This window comes from Homo sapiens, chromosome 12, assembly GCF_000001405.40.
Source record: "Homo sapiens chromosome 12, GRCh38.p14 Primary Assembly".
Taxonomy (NCBI): domain Eukaryota; kingdom Metazoa; phylum Chordata; class Mammalia; order Primates; family Hominidae; genus Homo; species Homo sapiens.
The window spans coordinates 112708488-112731898 of record NC_000012.12 but is presented as its reverse complement, the minus strand read 5'-3'; the positions used below and the strand labels follow the sequence as shown (position 1 = coordinate 112731898).

Here is a 23411-nt window from a genome sequence, read left to right as displayed (position 1 = left end):
TGGGGAGGTGGGGCATCTCACTGGGCAAGAGAAAGGGAGAGAAAAATGTACAAGGACTGAACCAATTTGATTGAAATATTTGCTGTCTTTGGGACCAAAAAAGAAAAACAAAACACCTGTCTCCATAATTAAATGTCATTTTTGTAGACGATTTAATTAGAAAGTCATCAAGGGAAAAATCCCCCAAATGGGTTTGACATAATACTAGTATCTGAAACTGCTAAATTAGAAGTGAGAGGAAGGACGAGATGGCACAAACTGCACAGGCCAGGAAAAAACCCAGGAGGCTGTTGAGGGCCTCTTTAACAGAGCAGATTGGAATAAAGGAAATTAAGAAAGCTTCTTCTGATTTGCCATTTGTTACAAAGTCTCCCAAAGGCATTCACAGGTGATTAAGCTTTTAGAAGACAGGCATTTCCTCTAAATTTAATAGAAATAGAGAGCTGGACATTTATTGAGGCTCAAAAGCTGCATAATAGGTCATATATTTTGTGGACTGGCATTTATTAGCATGCATTGAAGGATGTATAAAATGATTGTCACTTCTGGACTGCCTAACATACCACATATTGAATCTTCACAAAAACAGAGAATGGAAACTTATACGTGTATTCATTGACTTATTCTTCTCTCCCTCTTTCTCTTTCTCTCTCCTCTCTCTCTTTCTCCCACTCTCTCTCTTTCTCTGATCCACACACACACACACACACCATCAAATGAAATGAACTATAGAACTTAGAACGTCCCACCTGTCATACTGTAAAACACTTCATTCTCCTCCTATCCACAATATTTAGCATCTCAAAACACAGCCAACTCTAACACAGAGCTCCTAGAGAGGATCCCTCTGGAACACGGCTCAGCTCTTTTCTTATAGGAAATTGCAGAGAATTTCATAGCAATGCAATGTCCCCCTTTCTGTTCAGCCAGTCACCAGGGAGGCTGTAGCAGCCTACAAGAGCTGGTAAATTACAGAGATCTGAGCCCCAGTGTGCCCTATAAGCCAGCCCTGGAACAATGGCCAGGGCTGGCCTCATTTCCTGGGATGTTCTTTGCTCTGTGGCATCAGAAGCCCTTTCAATGGCTCTTGTTTCCTTCTTCAGTGGCATGGGGATGGAAATGGCCAGAGCCTGCTTCCAATGACGTTGGTTAACTGACCGTCTCGGCCAGGTATTTTCACGGGTTGTAGATGAGAAAGTTAAAACCCCATGTCACCACTTGGGGGTCTCCAAAAGCAAGCACTGAATGGAGTTTGGGGTGCAAAATGTTTCCTAGGGATCAACACTTATAAAAGAACCAAGGAGGAAGCAGGATTGGGCGGAGAGAGATGCTGGATGCGCTGGCCTTGCACAGCCTCAGCCAACCCCATGAGAAGCTCTGCAGCAAATACAGTCCCTGGAGGTTTTCCAGCATTGGGCTGACATGGCCAAGCCTTTATATCATACCCCTACCTGGTTCAAATGCAGACACTGACTTCCCAGAGAAAGGCATGACCTTGGGCAAGCTGGCTTTCTGCAGCTGAGGCTACCCCTGATGGGGCTAACAGCTGGAGACCATCAGTTGGCTGCACTCCCTGCAGCTGGACAGCAAGTCTAATGGTGCATCTCCGTGTTGACCTCAACCAGTGCATTGGTCTGCTCAGGCTGCAGGATCACCCTACCACAGACTGGGTGGCTTACGCAACAGAAATGCACTGTCTCACAGTCGGAAGCTAGAAGTCCAAGACCAAGGTGTCGGCCAGGTTGCTTCCTTCTGAGAGCTGTAAGGGAAGGATCTGTTCCATCTGGTGGTTGCCAGAAATCACTGGCATTCCTTGGTTTCTGCTGTATCACCCCAATCTCTGCCTTCATGTTCACATGGTGTTCTGTGTGTGTGTGTATGTGTGTGTGTGTGTGTACGTGTCCAGTTTTCCCCCTTTTTATAAGGACAGCAGTCATATTGGATTAGGGGCCCATCATACTCCAGCTATAACCTTACTGGAATGAATTATATCTGCAACGCTATTTCCAAATAAGGTCACACTCTGAGGTATTAGGGGTTAGGACTTGAGCCTATGAATTTGGCAGGGTTGGGGGAATAATTCAACATATAACACACAGAAAGGCTAAATAACATGTCCATGTCCATGCAGGATGTGAGTAGCAGAATCACAATGGAAAGCAAGGCCCTTTGGCTTTTTAGCCAGTGGTATGGGTAAAACTGCAGCTAACTGGATTACGAGTTATGTATCAAGCTTAGCAGTTCACCTTCCTCCACTCTATTAAAGCAACTAGTCAATATTTAGGACTTTAGTGGATTCCTCTTGTTACCCAGTGTAATGGCTATGTGACATAGTTGAATTTCTACCCTGTCCTAACTCTGCTTATCTTTAAGAAACAAGACACCTGCGATAAAAAAAAAAATTCCCTTTGTATGCCGAGTGCAGCGGCTCATGCCTGTAATCCTAGCACTTTGGGAGGCCAAGGCAGGTGGATTGCTTGAGCCCAGGAGTTCAAGACCAGCCTGTGCAACATGGTGAAACCCTGTCTCTACAAAAAAATGCAAAAATTAGCCAGGCTTGATGACACACTTACCTGTAGACTCAGCGAGGGGACTGAGATAGGAGGATTTCAGTCTCCTAGCTGGGTCAACAGGTGTGTGCCACCAAATAGGAGGGAAACCGAACCTGGGAGGTCAAGGCTGCAGTGAGCCATGATTGTGTCACCACACTCCAGCCTGGGTGACAGAGCAAAACCCTATCTCAAAAAAAAAAAAAAGTTCCCTTTGTAATCAGACCAACTAAGACTGGTTAGAACCAAAATTGCTGACCAAATGACTTCAAAAAGATCTCAGGCTCCATTATCATCTCATTTCCATGCTAAGTGACACTTTTGTGTTCCCAAGCCACTCCCGCTAGCACCATGACAGTTGACAATCACTATGACAATGACCAGAAGAAGCCATAAAAAGACAAAAAGGAAGGCAGCGCTCTGGTTCTGGGAAGTTCCCTGCCCATTCCCAGAAAAGACATGAATATTTCTCCCCTTGCTTCTAGTATCCCAAACTTTCATTAGAGAAATGGTATATTTTAACCCCCTCACCCCTCCCCTGTTAAGAAGTTGGTTTGTGAGCCATGCTCCTGCTTCTCAATTCCATAGCCATCCAATAAAGTCACCACTGCTTGACATGCTCTTTCAGTTTTGTGTATTTGTTTTGTTTGGTGTATGACACCAAACAAGGAAAGACCCCATCTTTTGGGGGACTGGCTTTGTCAGTAACACTCTGCCACCTCCAAGGTGGGTGGTAAATTCTTTTAAGGTTAAATACCGGGAACAGTCTAATACTTAATAACCACCTAGAAGGCATTGATTCTTAAGTCTTTATAGTTCTGAGAACATTTTGGTTTCCTATTGAAAGCTATGACAGCCAGAAAAATGCTTATATAAACACACACAAAACATTTTTGCATGCAAGTTGAGGGCGTTCATTTGATGCCTGTCCATGATTATAAGGGTTATGGTCCTCCTGCCAAAGGATGAATTGGAAAAAAAAATAGAAGCTTAAAAGCCATTTCAAGATGCTATGAAAACATGAAAGAGAAATTAAAGCTGGGATCTGCCAACTTTGCCCCACAAAATTGGGGCAGGGTCCTCCCCCAGTCTAGTGGCTTGAGAACACAAAAGGAAACTGGTGATAAATTGCCATGCTTCCATGATTTGCCACTTTCCCACCTTTTGTTCCCAGCATAGAAGGAAAATTGTGTACCTAGAATAGACTAAAAATCCACACACAGCACCCACCCTTGAAAGGATCTTACTTGCATTTGAAGGAAAACCCACATCAAGCTTTCCCCCTTGAACATGAGTATGAAGGAGAAAACTGGTGCCTTTCTGGAGTAATTTGGTTTTCCTCTTCTTCAGTAGGTCTACTTTACATATTCATGGGTTTTTATATACTGGACTATTGGGCTGAGGTCTGGCTTCAAGACAAGCTATTGTAGGGGAAGAAATCGTCATCCCAGGAGAAAAGATAGTGGTTTCTAAATCAGTGAAGACATTCTTTGGTTGTGAACAAAAGAACCCTGCTCAAACTGGCTTAAGTGAAATAGACACTGTGTGGTTTCATTTAAGTTACTAATGTGGTCTTCAGGCAAGGTTTAACCTAGGAACACAAACTATATAATCAAGATTCTTTTCTTTCTAATCCCTAGACTGACTTCACTACTTGATTTTATTCTTTGACTCCATGCAATGCTCCCAGTATTTTCAGGGTTCTATCCCTCCAAGTTTAAGTTTTAACTTAAGTTTAAGTTTCTTTCCATGGGAAAGAAACACCTATCATTTTCTCAGTAGTTTCAGCAAAAGTCTCATGGTAGTGGTCATGTTAGAAAATGCCTATATATATATATGTGTGTGGGGGGGGGGGGTCTGTGTGTGTGTGTGTGTGTGTGTGTGTGTGTGTCTGTGTCTGTGTGTGTATGTATGTGTGTGTGTGTATGTATATATATATATATTTTTTTTTTTTTTTTTGAGGCAGAGTCTTGCTCTGTCGCCCAGGCCGGAGGGCAGTGATGCAATCTCAGCTCACTGCAGCTTCCACCTCTCAGGTTCCAGCAATTCTCCTGCCTCAGCCTCCCAGGTCGCTGAGATTACAGGCATGTGCCACCTGTAATCCCAGCACGTGGGATTGATAAAACACAACACCTCTTCGATATGTCTCTTTGATATTAAAATTGTCTAATTTGATACTAGGGTCTAAAATTCTGCTCAGGGAGCCAAGAGTGAAGATAATAGGTGAACGCTGATTTCTTTCTAGATTTGTCACCTTACCTGAGAAAGCCTTAGTTCCCATTTCTTTTTTATTTTATTTATTTATTTATTTATTTGTTTATTTATTGGAGATGGAGTCTGGCTCTGTCGCCCCAGCTTCAGTGCAGTGGCGCAGTCTCGGCTCACTGCAACCTCTGCCTCCCGGGTGCAAGTGATTCTCCTGCCTCAGCCTCCCAAGTAGCTGGGATTACAGGCATGCACCACCACGCCCATCTAATTTTTGTATTTTTAGTAGAGACAGGGTTTCACCATGTTGGCCAGTCTGGTCTCGAACTCCTGACCTCAGGTGATCCGCCTGCCTCAGCCTCCCAAAGTGCTAGGATTACAGGCGTGAGCCACTGCACCCAGCCAGAAAAATGCCTTTATATTTTAGAGATGCAAACTAAAATACTTTGAGATAAAATGGCAAATATCTGGGTTTGCTTTAAAAATCTTAGGAATAAGAGAAACAAGGGGGAAAAATGAAGTAAGTATGGCCAAACTTTTATAATTATTGAATCTGGGTGATGGGTATTTGGGGGTTCCCTGTAGTATTATTTCTGCTTTTTGTTGGTTTACAAATTTTCATAATAAAGGTATATTTCAAGAATCATTAGAGAGGGGTGAATACAGTGTTCACTATTTGGGTGCTGGGTACACTCAAAGCCCAGACTTCACCACCAGATAATATATGCATGTAAGAAATCGCACCTTCATGCCTATAATCCCAGCACTTTGGGAGGCTGAGGCGGACAGATCACCTGAGGTCAGGAGTTCAAGACCAGCCTGGCCAACATGGCAAAACCCTGTCTCTACTAAAAACACAAAAATTAGCTAGGTGTGGTGGCACACACCTGTAATCCCAGCTACTCAGGAGCCCGAGGCAGGAGAACCACTTGAACCAGGGAGGTGGAGGTTGCAGTGAGTCAAGACTGTGCCACTGCATTTCAGCCTGGGAAACAGAGTAAGACTCCATCCCCCACTCCCCAGTACACCCCCCACCCCCCCGAAAAAAAAGGCTGGGTGCGGTGGCTCACGCCTGCAATCCCAGCACTTTGGGAGGCCAAGGCGGGTGGATCACGAGGTCAGGAGATCGAGACCATCCTGGCTTACACGGTGAAACCCTGCCTGTACTAAATACACAACAAATTAGCCGGGCGTGGTGGCGGGTGCCTGTAGTCCCAGCTACTCGTGAGGCTGAGGCAGGAGAATGGCGTGAACCCGGGAGGCAGAGGTTGCAGTGAGCCGAGATCGCATCACCGCACTCCAGCCTGGGCAACAGAGCAAGACTCCGTCTCAAAAACAACAACAACAACAACAACAACAACAACAACAACAACAACAAAAACTACACTCATCTTCCCTAAATATATAAAAATTTTAAAATAATTTTAAAGTCATCACATGGCAGGTAGCTCCGATCTGATCACGGGTCTCTCCCTGAACCAATCACCGTGGCCAGAAGAACACCAACCTCTGATTGGTCACACTAAATTTGTTTCCCACTCCTGAGTAGAGGACAGAGCAGATGTCACCTGAAGCACCCCCAAGCGGCTAATCGAGGAGATGTTACTAGAGCAAAGATGAAAAGATGCAAGGAGCAAAACAACTGGTGTCTACCACGATTCACACTGTCTCAACCAACAATGGCTCAGGCTCCAAGAAAGCTGATGGGGGCCTTTTTCCCACTTGGCATCACAAACGCTCCTTTCCTTTCTCCCCTCTTCCCCTCTTCTCCACCACTTTCTCAAGAAGTCAGGGAAGTGGTACAATGAGGTCGTGGGGAAAGTGCCCCCTCAAAAGCAGAAGATGCATTTATTCATTAAAACGTGTTTTTTTTTTTTTTTTTTTTTTTTTTTTTCTGAGACAAAGTCTTGCTCTGTCACCTAGGCTGGAGTGCAGTGGCACGATCTCAGCTCACTGCAACCTCCGCCTCTCAGGTTCAAGCAATTCTCCCGCCTCAGCCTCCCAAGTAGCTGGGATTACAGGCGTATGCCACCATGCCCGGCTAATTTTTGTATTTTTAGTAGAGACGGGGTTTCACCATGTTGGCCAGGCTGGTCTCAAACTCCTGACCTCAGGTGATCTTCCCACATTGGCCTCCCAAAGTGCCGGGATTACAGGCATGAGCCAATTTTTTTTTTTAGGCAGAGTCTCGCTCTGTCACCAGGCTGGAGTGCGGTGGCACAATCTTGGCTCACTGCAACCTCCACCTCCCAGGTTCAGACGATTCTCCTGCCTCAGCCTCCCTAGTAGCTGGGACTACAGGCGTGTGTCACCACGCCTGGCTAATTTTTGTATTTTTAGTAGAGACAGGGTTTCACCATATTGTCCAGGCTGGTCTTGAACTCCTGAGCTCAAGTGATCCACCCAGCTCAGCCTCCCAAAGTGCTAGGATTACAGGCGTGAGCCACCGTGCTCAGCCTCATCAAAACATATGTACTGCTTACTTGCTATGTGCCAGGCACTGTGCTAGGCACTGAGAACACAGTGATGAACAACAATAACCTGGTTGGTGACTATAAACCTATAAATAAGCATTTGATATCGCTGAGCCTGTTTCCTCATCTGTAAAGCAGAAATAGCAGTATATATACAGTTGACTCTTGAACAACATGGGTTTGAACTGTGCAGGTTCATTTATGCATGACTTTTTTTCAATAAATATATTGGAAAAATTTTTTGGAGATCTGCAACCATTTGAATAAACTTGAAGATAAACTGCCAAAAAATATTAAAAAAATATTGGCCAGCCACAGTGGCTCATGCCTGTAAGTCCAGCACTTTCAGAGGTTGGGGCAGGAAGATTGCTTGAGTTCAGAAGTTCAAAAGCAGCCTGGGCAACATAGTGAGACCCTGTCTTTACCAAACAAAAAAATTATTTTTAATTAGCCAGGCATGGTGTCATGTGCCTGTGGTCCCAGCTCCTCAGGAGGCTGAGGCAGGAGGATCACTTGAGCCGGCGAGGATGAGGCTTCAGTGAGCCACGATTGCACCACTGCACAGCCTGGATGACAGAGCTAGATAGATCCTGTCTCCAAAAAAAAAAAAAAAAAAAATCAAAAAAATTTAAGAAAAAGTTAAGTATGTCATAATTGCATAAAATATACATAGATACTTGAGTATTTTATCATTTGTTACCATAAAATATACACAAATCCATTACACAAATTTAGAACTTACTAAAACTTCTGCACACAAATACTTACAATGCATACATGGCACAACTGGCAGTTGAGAGATATGTAAATATGCAATATTAAACCATAACTGCATAACATTAACTGTCGTCCATACTGTACTACTGTAATAATTTTGTAGCCACCTTCTATTGCTATTTCAGTGAGCTCAAGTGTTGAGAGTATCCACCTAAAACGCCATGTGACAATAATCATCTCCAAGTGAACAGTATATCTCTCCAGTAAATTGTGTATCATAGTAAAAAGTGATCTCTAGCGGTTCTCGTGGATTTTTCATCATGTTTGGTGCAATACCATAAACCTTGAATAACTCCATGGGACCCATACAAAATGCCATTAGTGATGTTGGAAGTGCTCCCAAGAAGCAGAGAAAGGTCATGGCATTACAAGAAAAAGTCGAGTTGCAGGATATGTATCTTGGATTGAGGTCTGCAGCTGCAGTTGCCCACCGTTTCAGACAGATGATTCATCTTGTAAACAGACTATGTAAACTTACAGTATAGATCAATACAGTATAGTACTAGAAATGTATTTTCTCTTCCTTATGGTTTTCTTAATTACATTTTCTTTTCTCTAGCTTACTTTATTGTAAGACTACAGTATACAATACATATCATATACAAAATATGTGTCAGCTGACTATTTATGTTATCGGTAAGGCTTCCAGTCAACAGTAGGCTATTAGTAGTTAAGTTTTGGGGGAACCAAAAGTTATATACACATTTTTGACTGTACAGGGGGAGGGAGTTGTCAGTTCCCCTAATCCCTACACTGCTCAAGGGCCAACTGTATATACATACCAACATCATCAGACAAGATCAGAGAAATGAGATAGATGAACAATTTCGGCAAATTGTAAAGTTATTATTTTTCCTCTGTCTCCCCCTTTTCCCTACTGATCCTCATAGTTCTTCTCTTAGTGTCTAATAAGTGTGTCTCCTTGACACTGATATCAGTTAAGGTTCAATTTAGCAGCATATTAACAGGACCAAAATAATACTCAAACAAAATAGAGCTTATTTTACTTCTTGTATAAAATGAGTCCAGAGGTGGAGAGTACCAGGCTGCTATGGCAGCCCCACAAAGTCACCAGCAACCCAGGCTGTTTCTAGCCTTCTTCTCTGCCAACTTTAACATGTGGCTTTCATCTTCAAGATTGCTTCATGGTGACAACATAGCTGCTGCAGCCCCAACCACAACATCTACATTTCAGGAAGGAAGAACTGAAGAAAAGGAAATGGCCAAAGGGTTCCTATCTCCCATTTGGCCCAGCCTCCCTTAAAGAAATTTCCTGGAAGCACCAACAATACTTCTACTTACATTTCACTGGCCACTCATGTCCACAAGTGAAGTTGGAAAATACAATTTTCAGCTGAGTATATTGATGCCCACCAACAACATAGGAGTCCATTACTGATGAAGAAGTAGACTGAATATGGAGTTTAGGCAACTAGTAGAGTATTCTACAACATTCCTTAGAATGTACAGATGAAATCATATCTTTTACATTATTAAACCACCTACTTATAAAGCCTTTTGACAACCAGAATTCTTTACTCCTGAATAAGAATTTGTATTTGGCCCATGCCCATTTAGTCTCATGCCTACCTACAGAACCTGATCAGGACACCATCTCTGAAGAGCTATGCATTCTTTCCCAAAGGAAACAATTCCAATAACCAATTCTCATGTGATCTCTGAGGCATGATGGGAGGTAGGAGAGCTAGCCATAAAAATCCAAGCCTAATGAGCAAAAGCTCTCCCAATCAACCTTCAATCCATTTCCAGGGCGAAGAGTCTTCTCCTCTGTAAATGAGGAGGAGTGGGGATGGAAAATTTCTCTGCCTCTTTCAGCCCTGACATTCTATTCACCTTTATAAAGTCCATTCATCAAATTACCATAGGTGCAGACAGATTTATCTCAAAAGAGTTTGGGGAAAGGGAGATTCACTCCTACTTTTAAAATCCATTTCTATTCTACTTAATAAGAGGTTTTTTTCTTTTGTTAATGGAACTTGGAAATGCATGAAAATTGGAGACATAAACTTCTGGATAAGAAGTATTAAAAGCTCCACTTGCCAGCTGCCTTATCATTTTCTTTTCATTGGGTCATATGTAACTTGGGATTACAACATCTAATGTGGCCATATCTCAAATGCAATTACCATTGCTACAGTAGGTTCCAATAAGTATGCACTACTGAGATTAGCAGCTCTTGCCATTGAGTTGAAATATCTAAGGAAGGTAGATCACCACCAAAAAAAAAAAAAAATCCATTTTCTAATCTTACTGCTCTATAATACTGTAGGCTACTTTAATTTTTTAATAAAGGGATATTATTTTGCTTATAATTGTCAGCCCAACAAATTTAAAATATTTAACTATAACAAGTACATTAATGTTTTCTAATAGATTCCTTGGAGTCTGATATATTCACAATCTGGCCCTCCATCTGTTTGCTTCCCTGAAATATTGCTATCCTGAGTAAATGCTGTTGTATATTTTTCTGCTGATCAATTTAAAGTTTAACATTCTTCCTTTTCCAAGGCTCAGATCCTTTCAGATCATTTCTTGTGACCTAAGCTAGGCATATTTGGAGATTCACCAACTCCTTCAGGTCCCTGAAATTCCAGGAAGGGCAATGGAGGAGTAATTTTCATGGCGGCTAATGTCAAGAGTAGATGTCTAGTTCATATCCACACCCCTGGAAGAGCTTATCCTACTATTTAGAGCTTTGTTTTTAGCTGAAATTTATTGAACACTTGCCGTGTGCCAGAAACTATGCTAGGTAGCTTACATGCATCATTTCATTTAACCCTCTCAACAATACTGAAGTGTGGATACCATTATTATAACTATTTGTCAGATGGATGAGAAACCAAAGTTTAAAGAGGCTAAGTCATTTGGTCAAGTCATAATTAGTAAATGGAGGAGCAAAGGTTTAAATCCAGGTCTTTCTGACTCCATAACCCAAGCTCTACACACTGTGATAGACTGAAACATTGCTCCAATTCTTCATCCTTTCCTGTAACCATGCCCTTTGCCATGTAACTTTGAGTTCCTCCCACAAAAGACCAAGTGTACTTCCCTACCTCTTGACTTCAGGCTCAACCATGTGCTCTGACTTGCTCAATATGATACCTGCATATGTGACACAAGCATAGGATTGGAATATGCTTGCACAGTTGGGCTTGCCTTCTTTAAATTTTGCCAGTACCAAGAAAAGAACATGCCTTGTATGGCCTACTAGTCCCAGGAAAAGGATAAGAGACAAATGAAAGAGAATCACTCCAGCCAACCTGCAAACTTATGAGCAAGAACCAAACATTTGTTGCACGTCACTGAGATTTAGAGGTGGTTTGTTACACAGCAATAGCTAACTGACACAAACACCATAATTTACTGTCTCCTGGTTATCATAAATCTTCATTAAAACTGGAAGGAAAATCTTGTTCTTTTAATTTAGCAAGAGCTACCAATATTTACAGAACAAAGAAACAATATGGCCACCAACATGTGGAAAACATCATCTGCCTGCCACAATCTGATAGCCTAAGATGTATTGGTTGGCCCCCATGTCATCTATCATTATGTTCAGATGCCTAGCTTGATTACCTCACATGAAAATATTCAGTCTGACATTGAACTTTGCAGGATTTAATCAGTTCCTCCTGAAATCTCCAAAGACACACATACACATGCATGGATGCATGAGCACACGTGCATGTGCACATACCACACACACACAAGGGTCTCACTGCCAATCATGGGGAGGAGACAGTTGTCAATCTCAAACTTCAATCTGCTTCTCTGCCATAACAAAGAGATTCAGAAAACAACCTGAGTGCAGAATGAGCCTGAAATATGTTGTGGGGACAGAAATTCTGACTTGTCTTTTTCTTCACATTATTTTGGTGCAATGGGGAGAAGGAAGAAAAGAAAAAAACTATAGGCTCGAAGTTAAACTGACTCAGAAAAGAAAGCAAGTGATATGTGAGGAGGAAGACTAATGAATAAAGATAGAAAAACAAGGTGGTGGTGAGATGCAGCATATACAAAGTTCTGCAGCAGTATCTAATATGGCTTCTATCAGTATGACAAGATGGGCAATCCCTTAATCAAACGTAAGAACACAGATTGGTCAACTTCTCCCATCTTCTCTGTTATAACCTCTTACCCCATAGTCAAAATGTATTAGTCAACTGCCCTAATTTATTGCATGCCATTCTTGTATGCCTATCCCAAAGAGGCTGTTAGTCATTTAGTCATTCCACAAACCTTTATTGAATGTCTACTACATGCTGGAGCTATGATGATAAGCAAGATAGATATGGTCCCTGCCCTCATGGAGTGTTCAATCTACTGGGGAAGACCATTAGACAAGCTCTTACATACAGCACAATGCACGCTATTATTGGGGAATAAATGGTGCTCTCAAAATGTCATTTGGGAACAGCCTTCAAGTAATGACCATGGGGAATTGGTGCATAAATATCCCAGCTCCCTCACCTCTCAGATGGGATAACTGAGGTATGCGTTCTACATTGACTCAGAGTTTCCTTGCAGGATTAATCTCTGGTGGATGGTTTGATAATGGGTCCTTTATTGAATGCCTTCTCATTCCTGTCTGACTTCCCCATTTCTCTACCAGTGTCAGATCTCAAGATATATATTTAGGAGATAATCCTAAGAAACACTGGAGGATATAGAGCAAGGTTTCTTAACCTCAGCACTATTGGCATATGAAGATGATAATTTTTTGTTTTAGGGGAATGCCCTGTGTATTGTAGGATATTTAGCAGCTTTCTTCTACCCACCATATGCCAGTAGCACCCCTCCATTTGTGACAACAAAAAATGGCATTGCCAAATGACCTCTGGGAGGTGAAAACCACTTGACAGAGCATTACAAATTTATTACCATCTCCAAGATGAAGCCTTACCAACATTAAGGTGGAATCATAAATTCTGTGAGAAGAAAGAAACCAAAGATCTTTAGAAGATTCTTATTTCAAGGACAGCAAACACATGGCACAGATCTGAATATCAGCTGGCTTGTGCCCATGGCAAACATCACCAATCAATTCCTGCTCTCCTTCCTTCTAAGCCTGAAGAGGCTGCCATCTTCCTCTATGCAGGGCTACAGGCAGCCATTACCAATGGATTGAAGTTGGAATGAGAGAATCACATGTTGCTTTCTTTGCCACCCCTGCATTGAATTACAATGTTAGAGAAGAGTCTCCACCTTCTTTCTGCCCCAACATGGCCAGTAGACGATCTACTCCCCTCAGCAACGCGCAGTGGCAATAGTTCTCAACTGAAGGAAAGGGCCCACACTCCCCCATGGAAGGGTCAGAATCCTCCTGGGGAGAAAGAGTGTGTATGCATGTGTAATGAAACACTCCTCATCACAAGTAATTTTGACAGCTCTGATTTGCACCCCACACCCACCCCCATCCCCCATTTGGGAATCATTGTTATAGACTTTAGACATAATTCCCTGGGAAGAAAATTTTTCTTTCCCTCTCTACATTTGTCCTTTAAGAAAATATGAAAATGTTACTTATTCATGGAGCCCTTGATGTATTCCATTTGCTTTCATAATCCAAATATGGATTTAAATATGTTTTTAACTTAATGCAACCTGAGTCATAATGGTTTGGTTTGAATAGGTCAACATATACTGCTGGCTAATTGAAGGCAGATCTTTCTCAAGCCCTGGGCTAGAATAAATTTATTTCTCAAGTCATTCCTTCCTTGGGAAAGCTAAGAACTGCACTAGCCAGCACAGTTAGTAGGAAAAATAAATTCCCCCTTACCCTTACCTGTGTGGATAGCAAAGGGGAAAGGGTTCAATTTGATAGTGAGAATCTAAGCTGGTGCTGAATTATGTAGAACGAACGTTGCCTGGAGAAGAGAAAAACAGCCATGCTTCAAAGCAGGGTCAAAATGCTTTCTAAATGGGTAGCAGTACTACATGTCTATTAAAGTGACTATCAACAACAACACAATGACAAGACTTAGCGAGGACATGAAGCATCTAGAACCCTCATCTATTGCTGGGGGAAATACAAATGGTACACCCACCATGGAAAACAGTTTGGCAATTTGTGATAAAGTTAAACATATGTTTACCATGCAAACCTGCAATCCTATTCATTGGTATTACCCAAAAAAAAAAAAAAATGAAAACCTATATTCACACAAAACCAGTACACAAATGTTTGTAACTGCTTTATTTACAGTTACCCCAAACTGGAAACAACCAAAATGTTCCTCCACCAGAGAATGAATAAACAAACCACAATGGAATACTACTGATCAATAAAAAGGAATGAGCTACTAATATACACAAAAACATTGATGTATCTCAAATGCATTATGCAAAATGAAAGAAGCCAGATTCAAAGGGATATATTACATATATATTATATATAACACAGAAAGTATATATAATTAAAAGTAATGGCAAAAACCGTAATTACTTTTGCACCAACCTAATGTATATTACAATATTTCATGTGTATGACATTCTGGAAAAGGCAAAACTATAGGAATGAAGAACAGATCAACGGTTGCCAGAGGTTGAGGGTAGGAGAATAGGCAGCATGAGAGAATTTGGGATGGGGGTGGTGGTTCTGTATCTTGATTGAGGTAGTGGTTACGTCACTATGCATTCGTCAAAACTCATAGAACTGTGTACTGTAAAGAGTGAATTTTACTATCTATAAATTTAGAAATAAATAAAAACTAAACAAATTGAGATTAGCCCTTCAATTGATTATACCATCCACAAATCCAAAATATCTTAAAATACTTCTGTGAGCCTCATCTGGAAAATGGGGCTATGTTATAGGCCGTTATAAGAATTAAATGGGACGAAGAACACAAAGTGCCTTCCAACATAGTAAGTCCACAGCGATTGATGTTTGCTATTATTCATTTAATCAACTCTTACTCCAGGCAAAGCTCCAAGAATTAGAGTTACTTGCTTGTCTTGTCCACTAGGCCATAGACTTCTACAGGACAGGGAATATGCCCAATGTGTACCTGTGCTCACCAGAGTGTCCAGTGCCATGCTTAGCACAGGAAAAAATAATAAATTTTCATCAAATTGAACTGTTATGGGAAAAGACCACTAATTGTCCCCCAACATCTTTCCTCCCCTATTCAATAATAATCCAAAGTTTTAGCTGGAAACATGGCTGCCTAGCCAGAGACTACATTTCCCAGCCTCCACTTAGGTGTGGGCATGTGACTTGGTGTGGCCAATGAGACACGGGTGAAAGTGAGATGTGCCCTTCCAACTTGTGCCTTTAACAGAACGTTTGTGTTGTTGGCTAGAGAGCCAGAACTAGAGCCAATGCCTTGAACCCAGAGACAGAAGCGATACGTGAAGATAGCAGAGGCATCCATCCTCCTGTATCTAGAGACTATTACATGAGAAAGAAATGAATTTGTATCTTTCTGAATGCCACTGTTAAAGCAGGCAAACCAGGACTCTAACTCATACAAATGGATGCTCACTGAACATACTGTTCTGCTCCTTCATTCAGTCATTCAGTAATATTTAGTGAGTACCCCATCGTCAGAGGCATTCAAACCAGAGTGACTCCATCTTGTGTAGAGGCTGGGTAACATAAGGCTGAGACCTACTGGGCTGCATTCCCAGGAGGTTAGGCATTCTAAGTCACAAGATGAGATAGGAGGTCAACACAAGATACAGGTCATAAAGACCTTGCTGATAAAACTGCACGCGGTAAGGGAGGCGGCCAAAACCTACCAAAACCAAGATGGCAACAAAAGTAACCTCCGGTCATCCTCACTGCTCATTATACACTAATTATAATGTATTAGCATGCTAAGAAACACTCCCACCAGTGCCATAACAGTTTACAAATGCCATGGCAATATCAGGAAATTATCCTATACAGTCTAAAAATGGGAGGAACCCTCAGTTCTGAGAATTGCCCACCCCTTTCCTGGAAAACGCATGAATAATCCACCCCTTGTTTAGCATATAATTAAGAAATAACCACAAAAATGGGTAACCAGCAGCCCTCAGGACTATTCTTTTATTCCATTACTTTCTTAGTAAACTTGCTTTCACTTTACTGTATGGGCTTACTCTGAATTCTTTCTTGGGAAAGATCCAAGAACCCTCTCTTGGGGTCCGGATTGGGACCCCTTTCCGGTAACATCATGACAGCTGCTCTGGAATGCCAAGGGGTATATGACTGGTCCCTGCCCACTGTGAGCTCACCATGTAGTTGGGAAGAGAAAAATCTACAGCCAAGAAAAGTTTAATCATTACATACAAATTAAAGTCTTCACATAATGCAAATAATATCCTAAGACCTTCATTGATTCAACTATTATTTGGTTACCTTCTAATGCTAGGCACCATTGTAGATGCTAGGAATATTATAAAGAAGAAAACAGTGAGAGTCCCGGCTCTTATGGTGCTTACATTTGAGTGGAGAGGGGTAGAGGAAAAGGCAATACATAAATAAGCAAACAAATCAATAAGAAGTTATCAAGCAGCAGTAAGTACCTTGAGGAAAATATAACAATGTGATAGGACAGAGAGAAGGTCTGGGGGTTATATGGAGTGGTTTCAGGGAGGGCTTCTCAAGGAAGTGGCATTTCAGTAGAGAGCTAATGATGAGAAGGAGCTAGGCAAGTGAATACCTGGAGAAAGGGTGCTCTAGGTAGAGGGAAGAGCTGGTTCAAAGGTACTAAGGCAGGAGCAAACCTCATATGCTTGAAATTCAGAAAGAAGATTCATGTGGTAAAAGCATATGGAGAGATGGAAAAATGATGTTAATATAAATATTCATTAAATAGTACAAACGCTAAGAATTGTAAGGAGAAATCGGTGTAGATTAGATATATCAGAGAAGGCTTCCTGGAGGAGGTGGAACTTAAATTGGATGGAGATGCAGGAAAAGGATTTGGATCAGCAGAGAAGAAAAGGGAAGTAATTTTAGAAAAAGAGAAAGAAACATGAGCAAAGTATAGAAGCAAAAATAGACCGGCTATACTTTAAATGAATATGTGGATGGTTGATATGCAGCATGCATTCCATTACTAGCCTTTCCTTGTGGCAGACATTGCTAATCAACCATAGTACTTTTCCTGCAGAGCCTGAGTGTGGCCTTAAATCCTCAACCGTCACTCCATCGATTCCAATCAATCCAAGTGCCCTATGAGACAAAACCTATGAGTCTGCCCTGAATTAATTTAAAGGCTCTCTTTACTGCCCAGGAAAGACGGAAAGAGAAAATCCTATACTTGAAAATAACATAATTGGGCTTTTATACTTTCTCACAAGCAACTCAATCAAATGCCTCTTATTCAGCAATATGCAAATAATATAGCTATCCCCCTTCAGCCCTGCACAACCCAGAGACGTAGACCCAAAACGCAAACAAGGCTTTGCCTCTTCTGTTCTCCCATAGGCACACTAACGCTGATGACTGTGCAAGCTGGTTCTGCTTGATTAGAGCGAGGCCTGGCTCCTGCACGCACCCTGAGTCCTTCACAGTAACCTGTATGTCTTCTGACATCTTCCTGTGTGCATCAGCTCCTCGCCTCATGAATCACATCCTAAACCATTTTCTTTGACATTTAAAGCCCTGCCTCAAGATGCACTGCTGTGACTAGATGATCCACCTTCCAGATACAGGCACCCTCCTAAAGGATGGCTGTTCCCAGGGGTCTGCAATATCTAGGAGGCTGCTCGTGCCCTCTCCAGCCTTCTGAACCCACGGGATAGACACATTGGGACAGAATCTTAACGACATTTTCTGAGCACTTATTAGAGACCAGAACATGTGCCACACACTTCATGTACCAACCACCTATAGGCCTCATGTTATCCCATGAGGGGGTACCCTCCTATTACACCCATTTTACAGGTGGGGAAACTGAGGCACACCGTGAGATTAGGCAACTTGGCCATGGTCGCCTAATAAATGTCAGAATCTGAACCCACGTCTCAGCCACTGAAGCCAGCTGCCTGGTCTCATGAATTCAATTCTCTCATTTCTCATCCAAGCCTCCTTCCCCTCCTGTAACAATAACTAATTCGAAACAAAGAACAAAACTGATTTTAGCTCAGACCTCACTTACACCATCCCTTGAGTCCTTTCAAATTGGGTGCCTCTCCCCTTTAATTTATTCAAGGAACAAATATTTATTGAACATCCACCATATGCCAGACACTGCCAGCTGGTGGGACTCTTTTCTGACTTTGTACCAAGAAATTATCTTACTCTGGCAAAAGCATGAGTCTCAAAACAGCCACACAGCTCCATTGTTTATTGTTAGGCTGCTTTTTTTTTTCCTGCAAATCTTGTGTAATCTCTCTCAATACAAATATTTTCCAAAAATATGGACTGAACCAAGCTTGGCTTGATGGTCGGGAAAAAGATTGTAAAAAAGAAATATGCTCTCTTTTCTACACACTGTTGATTTTACTACAAATCCTTTCAGCTACTTGGTTTTTGAAAATAACATTGAACTAGAGGGACACAGATCAACATGAATGAGTCTCGACCTTGATGTTGAGTGAAAAAAGCTAGTTGCAGAAGGATAAGTATACTTTATTATTTAAATAAAGAAATGTGCAAGACAATACAATAGGCTATATGCAGTAGGTTATATATATACAAATACATGTCAGGCATGGTGGCTTATGCCTATAATCCCAGCACTTTGAGAGGCCAAGGCATGAGGATCCCTTGAACCCAGGAGTTCGAGACCAGCCTGGGCAACATGGTGAGACCCTTTCTCTACAAAAAAATAAAAGAAGAAGAAGAAGAAGAAGAAGAAGAAGAAGAAGAAGAAGAAGAAGAAGGAGAAGAAGAAGAAGAAGAAGAAGAAGAGGAAGAGGAAGAGGAAGAGGAAGAGGAAGACAAAGACGACGAAGAAGAAAGAAGAAGAAAGAAGAAGAAGAAGAAGAAGAAGAAGAAGAAGAAGAAGAGGAAGAAGAAGAAGAAGAAGAGGAAGAAGAAGAAGAAGAAGAAGAAAAAAAAGTGAGCTGGGTGTGGTGGCACACAGTCCCAGCTACTCAGGAGGCTGAGATGGGAGGATCACATGAGCCCAGGAGTTTGAGGCTGCCATGAGCCATGATCACACCACTGCACTCCAGTCTGGGCAACAGAGTGAGACCCTGTCTCAAAAACAAAACAAAACAAACAAACAAAATATATATACACATACACACACACACACATACACACACACACACACAAGTAGGGGACAAATGAGCACCAAATTCATAATGCAGGCTACCTCTGGTCGGGGCATGAGGGACATGTGATTGGGGACAGGGCTGTGATTGCTTCAGTAGCATCTTAGTTCTTAAACTGGATGGTGAGTACATGGGTGTTCATTATGTTATTCTTTACACCTTTTTGTATGTCTTAATATTTTGTATATTTAAAATAACAATTTAAAAATAGACATCTGGATAATTTATGCGGTTTCTATTAGATTGAAACATAAGAAATTGCCAACGTTGGACCATTTTTTGACCTACAAAGGGACAGTTTCCTATGTTCATAACAGAATCTAGATCTATAACACATCAATTCATCCAAATCAACCTTTCTAATAAATCTTACTTATGAATAATGAAGAATAGAAAATGTTGGTCTGGGTGGATTACGTGCGTGCCTGCGTGCGTGCATGCGTGTGTGTGTTTTCTTTAACTCCAATTAAATACAGCATTCAGATGACAGAACCAAAATTAACCTAAGAACTAAAATGTACAGAGGCCGGGCATGGTGGCTCACCCCTGAAATCCCAGTACTTTGGGAGGCTGAGGAGGGCAGATCACCTGAGGTCAGGAGTTTGAGACCAACCTGACCAACATGGAGAAACCCCATCTCTACTAAAAATACAAAATTAGCCAGGTATGGAGGTGCATGCCTGTAATCCCAGCTACTCTGGAGGCTGAGGCAGGAGAATTGCTTGAACCCGGGAGGCAGAGGTTGTAGTGAGCTGAGATCGCACCATTGCACTCCAGCCTGGGCAACAAGAACAAAACTCTGTCTCAAAAAAAGAAAAAAATTGTACAGAGAACAAGGAACGAGGAAAGAGAGATTGCAGCAAAAAGTGGACAGATGCAGCATTCTCCCCAGCAAGCAGTATGGGTTATCACTCCTCCTACCTGCACTGGATAACAGAGCCCGCCCAATGAGATGCCCAGAAGAGCAGTCATTTGTCATTGGTTAACAACCTGAAGTCCAGTGAAGCAAATTCGTGGCCATTGCAACCACAAGGAAAGGAAAGCTTTATTAGAAATATAAAACACACCACTCGTTTCTGAAGTGCTTGAGTAAATTCCATTAGCTTATACCCCCCAGAAAACATCTATGCCAAGTAATGCAACACACTGCAAGAACAGAGGGAGAATGAGAAAATTATATTGCATTGCTATCATTTCAACTTTTTGTCAGTTCTTTTCAACTGAAAGTCGTCCCCAAAGAGATGTGCTCTTTTTTTTTTCTTCTCAAGGCTTTAAGGAAGAAACAAATAAACTTTTAGCAGAAAGGAGGAGGGAGGCCCAGGATTGCAGCACAAATGATCAAAGTGAACAAACTATGCTTATATAGGGCAGTTTGGGTATGCACAAGAAACACTCCGGGAGCTTATTAGAAATGCAAATCCCTGCCCCTGCCACTGTTCTGACTCAATAGGTCCAGGAATGAGCCTAAGAACTGTAAGTATTTAATAAGCACCTTGAGTGATTCAGATGCAGGGTGTGTACAGACCTCATCAAGAAAGAAATGTTGTGATAGGAGGATCCGGCTACCCTAAAATTGATCTGAATTCTCCCAAACGCTGTTCTTGATCAAAGAAAGAATAGTTGTTGCTGCCTGCTTGGAGTTCTTCTGAACTGGAGATAACATTCTAAGCTAATTTATTGCATCTCTGAAGTGCCTACTGAATTGTTTCATTCACTTATTCATTCAACAAATATTTATTAAGCACCTACTATGTGCTAGGTGCTGTGTTACATAAGAGACTCATGTTCAAGATAAAAGGAAGGGAGAAAGGCAAAAAGAAAGGGTAATAAAAAATACACAGAAACGGAAAAGAAAGGGAAGGGAAAGATTTTTAAGTAATGTTTTTGAATCATCAGGCAGCCCACTGTGGAAACATAATATGTAATTTATAATGACTTCTTTACATATCTTCCTGCTGACTGTACCTGGATTCACTTTGTTTTCTCTTCTGTATGTTAAGCTCCAGGCAAAACTGCCTCATTTGTTATGTACAAGTGGAGTCTATGCACACTAGGGAAGCTCTTGCTTTTAGCCTCTGGGACCTTAAGGACGTGTCACAACACTACAAATATGATTGGGCCTGAAAGGGAACTGGCAGAGGCCAGAGTGCTGTGGCCTGGGATCATGGAATGGCCGCCTGGGGACTTTACAGGGTACAAGGAGCAGCCTCCTGACTTCTCTCCTCCTGAAAGCTTCAAACCGCCCCTCCTACCCTCCTTGGCTTGATCTCAGCCAAACATTCCAACCTAAGAAAATCAACAGTCCCAGTTTGCCCAGGAAGAACGGGGTTCTGGGATGTGGGACTTTCAGCGCTGAAACTACGGTCAAGAAAGGCAACCAGGCCGGGCGCGGTGGCTCAAGCCTGTAATCCCAGCACTTTGGGAGGCCGAGACAGGCGGATCACGAGGTCAGGAGATCGAGACCATCCTGGCTAACAGGGTGAAACCCCGTCTCTACTAAACATACAAATAAAATTAGCCGGGCGTAGTGGCGGGCGCCTGTAGTCCCAGCTACTCGGGAGGCTGAGGCAGGAGAATGGTGTGAACCCGGGCGGCGGAGCTTGCAGTGAGCCGAGATCATGCCACTGCACTCTAGCCTGGGCGACAGAGTAAGACTCCGTCTCAAAAAAAAAGAAAAAAGGCAACCAGCCATGAACACAGGGCCTGGGGAAGCTACAAAAGGAGGATGCTCCGGCTTTGGGCTGCTTTGTGGCCTTGGGCAAACAATTAAACATGTCTGAGCCTCACTTTCCTCCTCTGTAAAGTGGGGGGATAATCAGCGCCCCACTGTGTTATTGTGAGGATTAAATGAACCTTCATGCTTGCTGTGTTGTCCGCCGGGAAGATCCTCTACTACCCTGGTTTCTTGGTTGGAATGACCCACCTGCAACCTACAAGCTTGGTTTAAACAGCATTTTTTCAGATGTCCCAGACCCCACATTCAAATCACTGGTATATAGCACAGTGCCTGGCACATAGTAGGTGCTTAATAAACATTTGGGGAATAAATAAACAATGCATAGCATGCACAGCACCTGACACGAGAGTAATTTTTTTTTTTTTTTTTGAGACAGGGTTTCGCTCTGTCACCCAGGCTGGAGTGCAGTGGCGTGAGCATGGCTCACTTCAACCTTGAACTCCCAGGCTCAAGTGATCCTCCTGCCTCAGCCTCCTGAGTAGCTGGAACTACAGACACACATCACTAACCCTGGGTAATTTTTTATTTTTTTATAGAGACAGGGTCTCACTTTGTTACCCAGGCTGGTCTCAAACTCCTGGCCTCAAGCAATCCTCCCACCTTGGCCTCTCAAAGTGCTGGGATTACAGGCATGAGCCACTTCTCCCAGCCAAGAGTAAATATTTTTAAATAGCTACTTTTATTATTAAAAGTATTTACTGGAACTAAGAGTGGTCAGGTACCTAAACAGCTCACTTTTTCAACACCTAGTGTGGCAGATGTTCTAGCAGGTCTGTTTTTAAAAATCAAAATAAAATCACTTGTCACCTTTGCCATACACACCCATCAAAGGGAGCTGCATTTTAAGAGAGTAAGAGTTTTAGGGTTTTGGTGGTTGTATTGCCATAAAAATAGAGAAAATTTTTTGACAGAAACCTTATATAATTGCTGTTTATTTCCCTTCTCTGTGTCCTGTATGCCTGAACTCCAATAAATGAGAGTAAAAATCAAATCTGTGATAGAGTTTTTATTTATTTTCCTATCTATAGCATTCTTTATAGGATCCAGATCTGGGAGAGAAAGAAAACAAAGGACAAAGGAAAAGAAAACTTGCCCGTGGGACTTCCCAGCCATCCCTTTCACCTGGTACCTTTAGGTCCTTCTATTTTCGCAGGAGGCTCCGATCCCCTGGGCGCTTGATAATTCTCTGAGGTCATGGAGATCAGATACATGGACACTCATCCACCAACAAAGGCTTTCAGACACAAACCAAGCTGCCTCCCAGAGTACAGAGGTAGCAACTCTGCTCATCACTACAGAGGCACTGATGTCACTCGGTGTCCCTCTGGAGGAGCAAATGGACCCACAACCCCACTGCTTTGCTCCCCACCAGCTCCTCCCACACGCTGGTCCTAACGCTTTGCTGAGCACACAGTGGACTCTCCACGAACA

The 23411-nt window shown here is 42.2% G+C and overlaps 1 protein-coding gene across 1 annotated transcript in view, besides 1 other annotated feature; it reads right to left on the bottom strand.

Annotated features, from left to right (window-relative positions):
- RPH3A (rabphilin 3A) overlaps positions 1-23411 on the bottom strand; it is a 323646-nt gene that overhangs the window by 166983 nt on the left and 133252 nt on the right. The window lies entirely within an intron of this gene.
- Positions 21235-21735: an enhancer, noted in NCBI's record as "H3K4me1 hESC enhancer chr12:113147969-113148469 (GRCh37/hg19 assembly coordinates)". NCBI's record gives its function as "activates a minimal SCP1, AML or CMV promoter by ChIP-STARR-seq in naive H9 embryonic stem cells {active_cell/tissue: H9 hESC(naive)}" and the evidence as "EXISTENCE:reporter gene assay evidence [ECO:0000049][PMID:30033119]".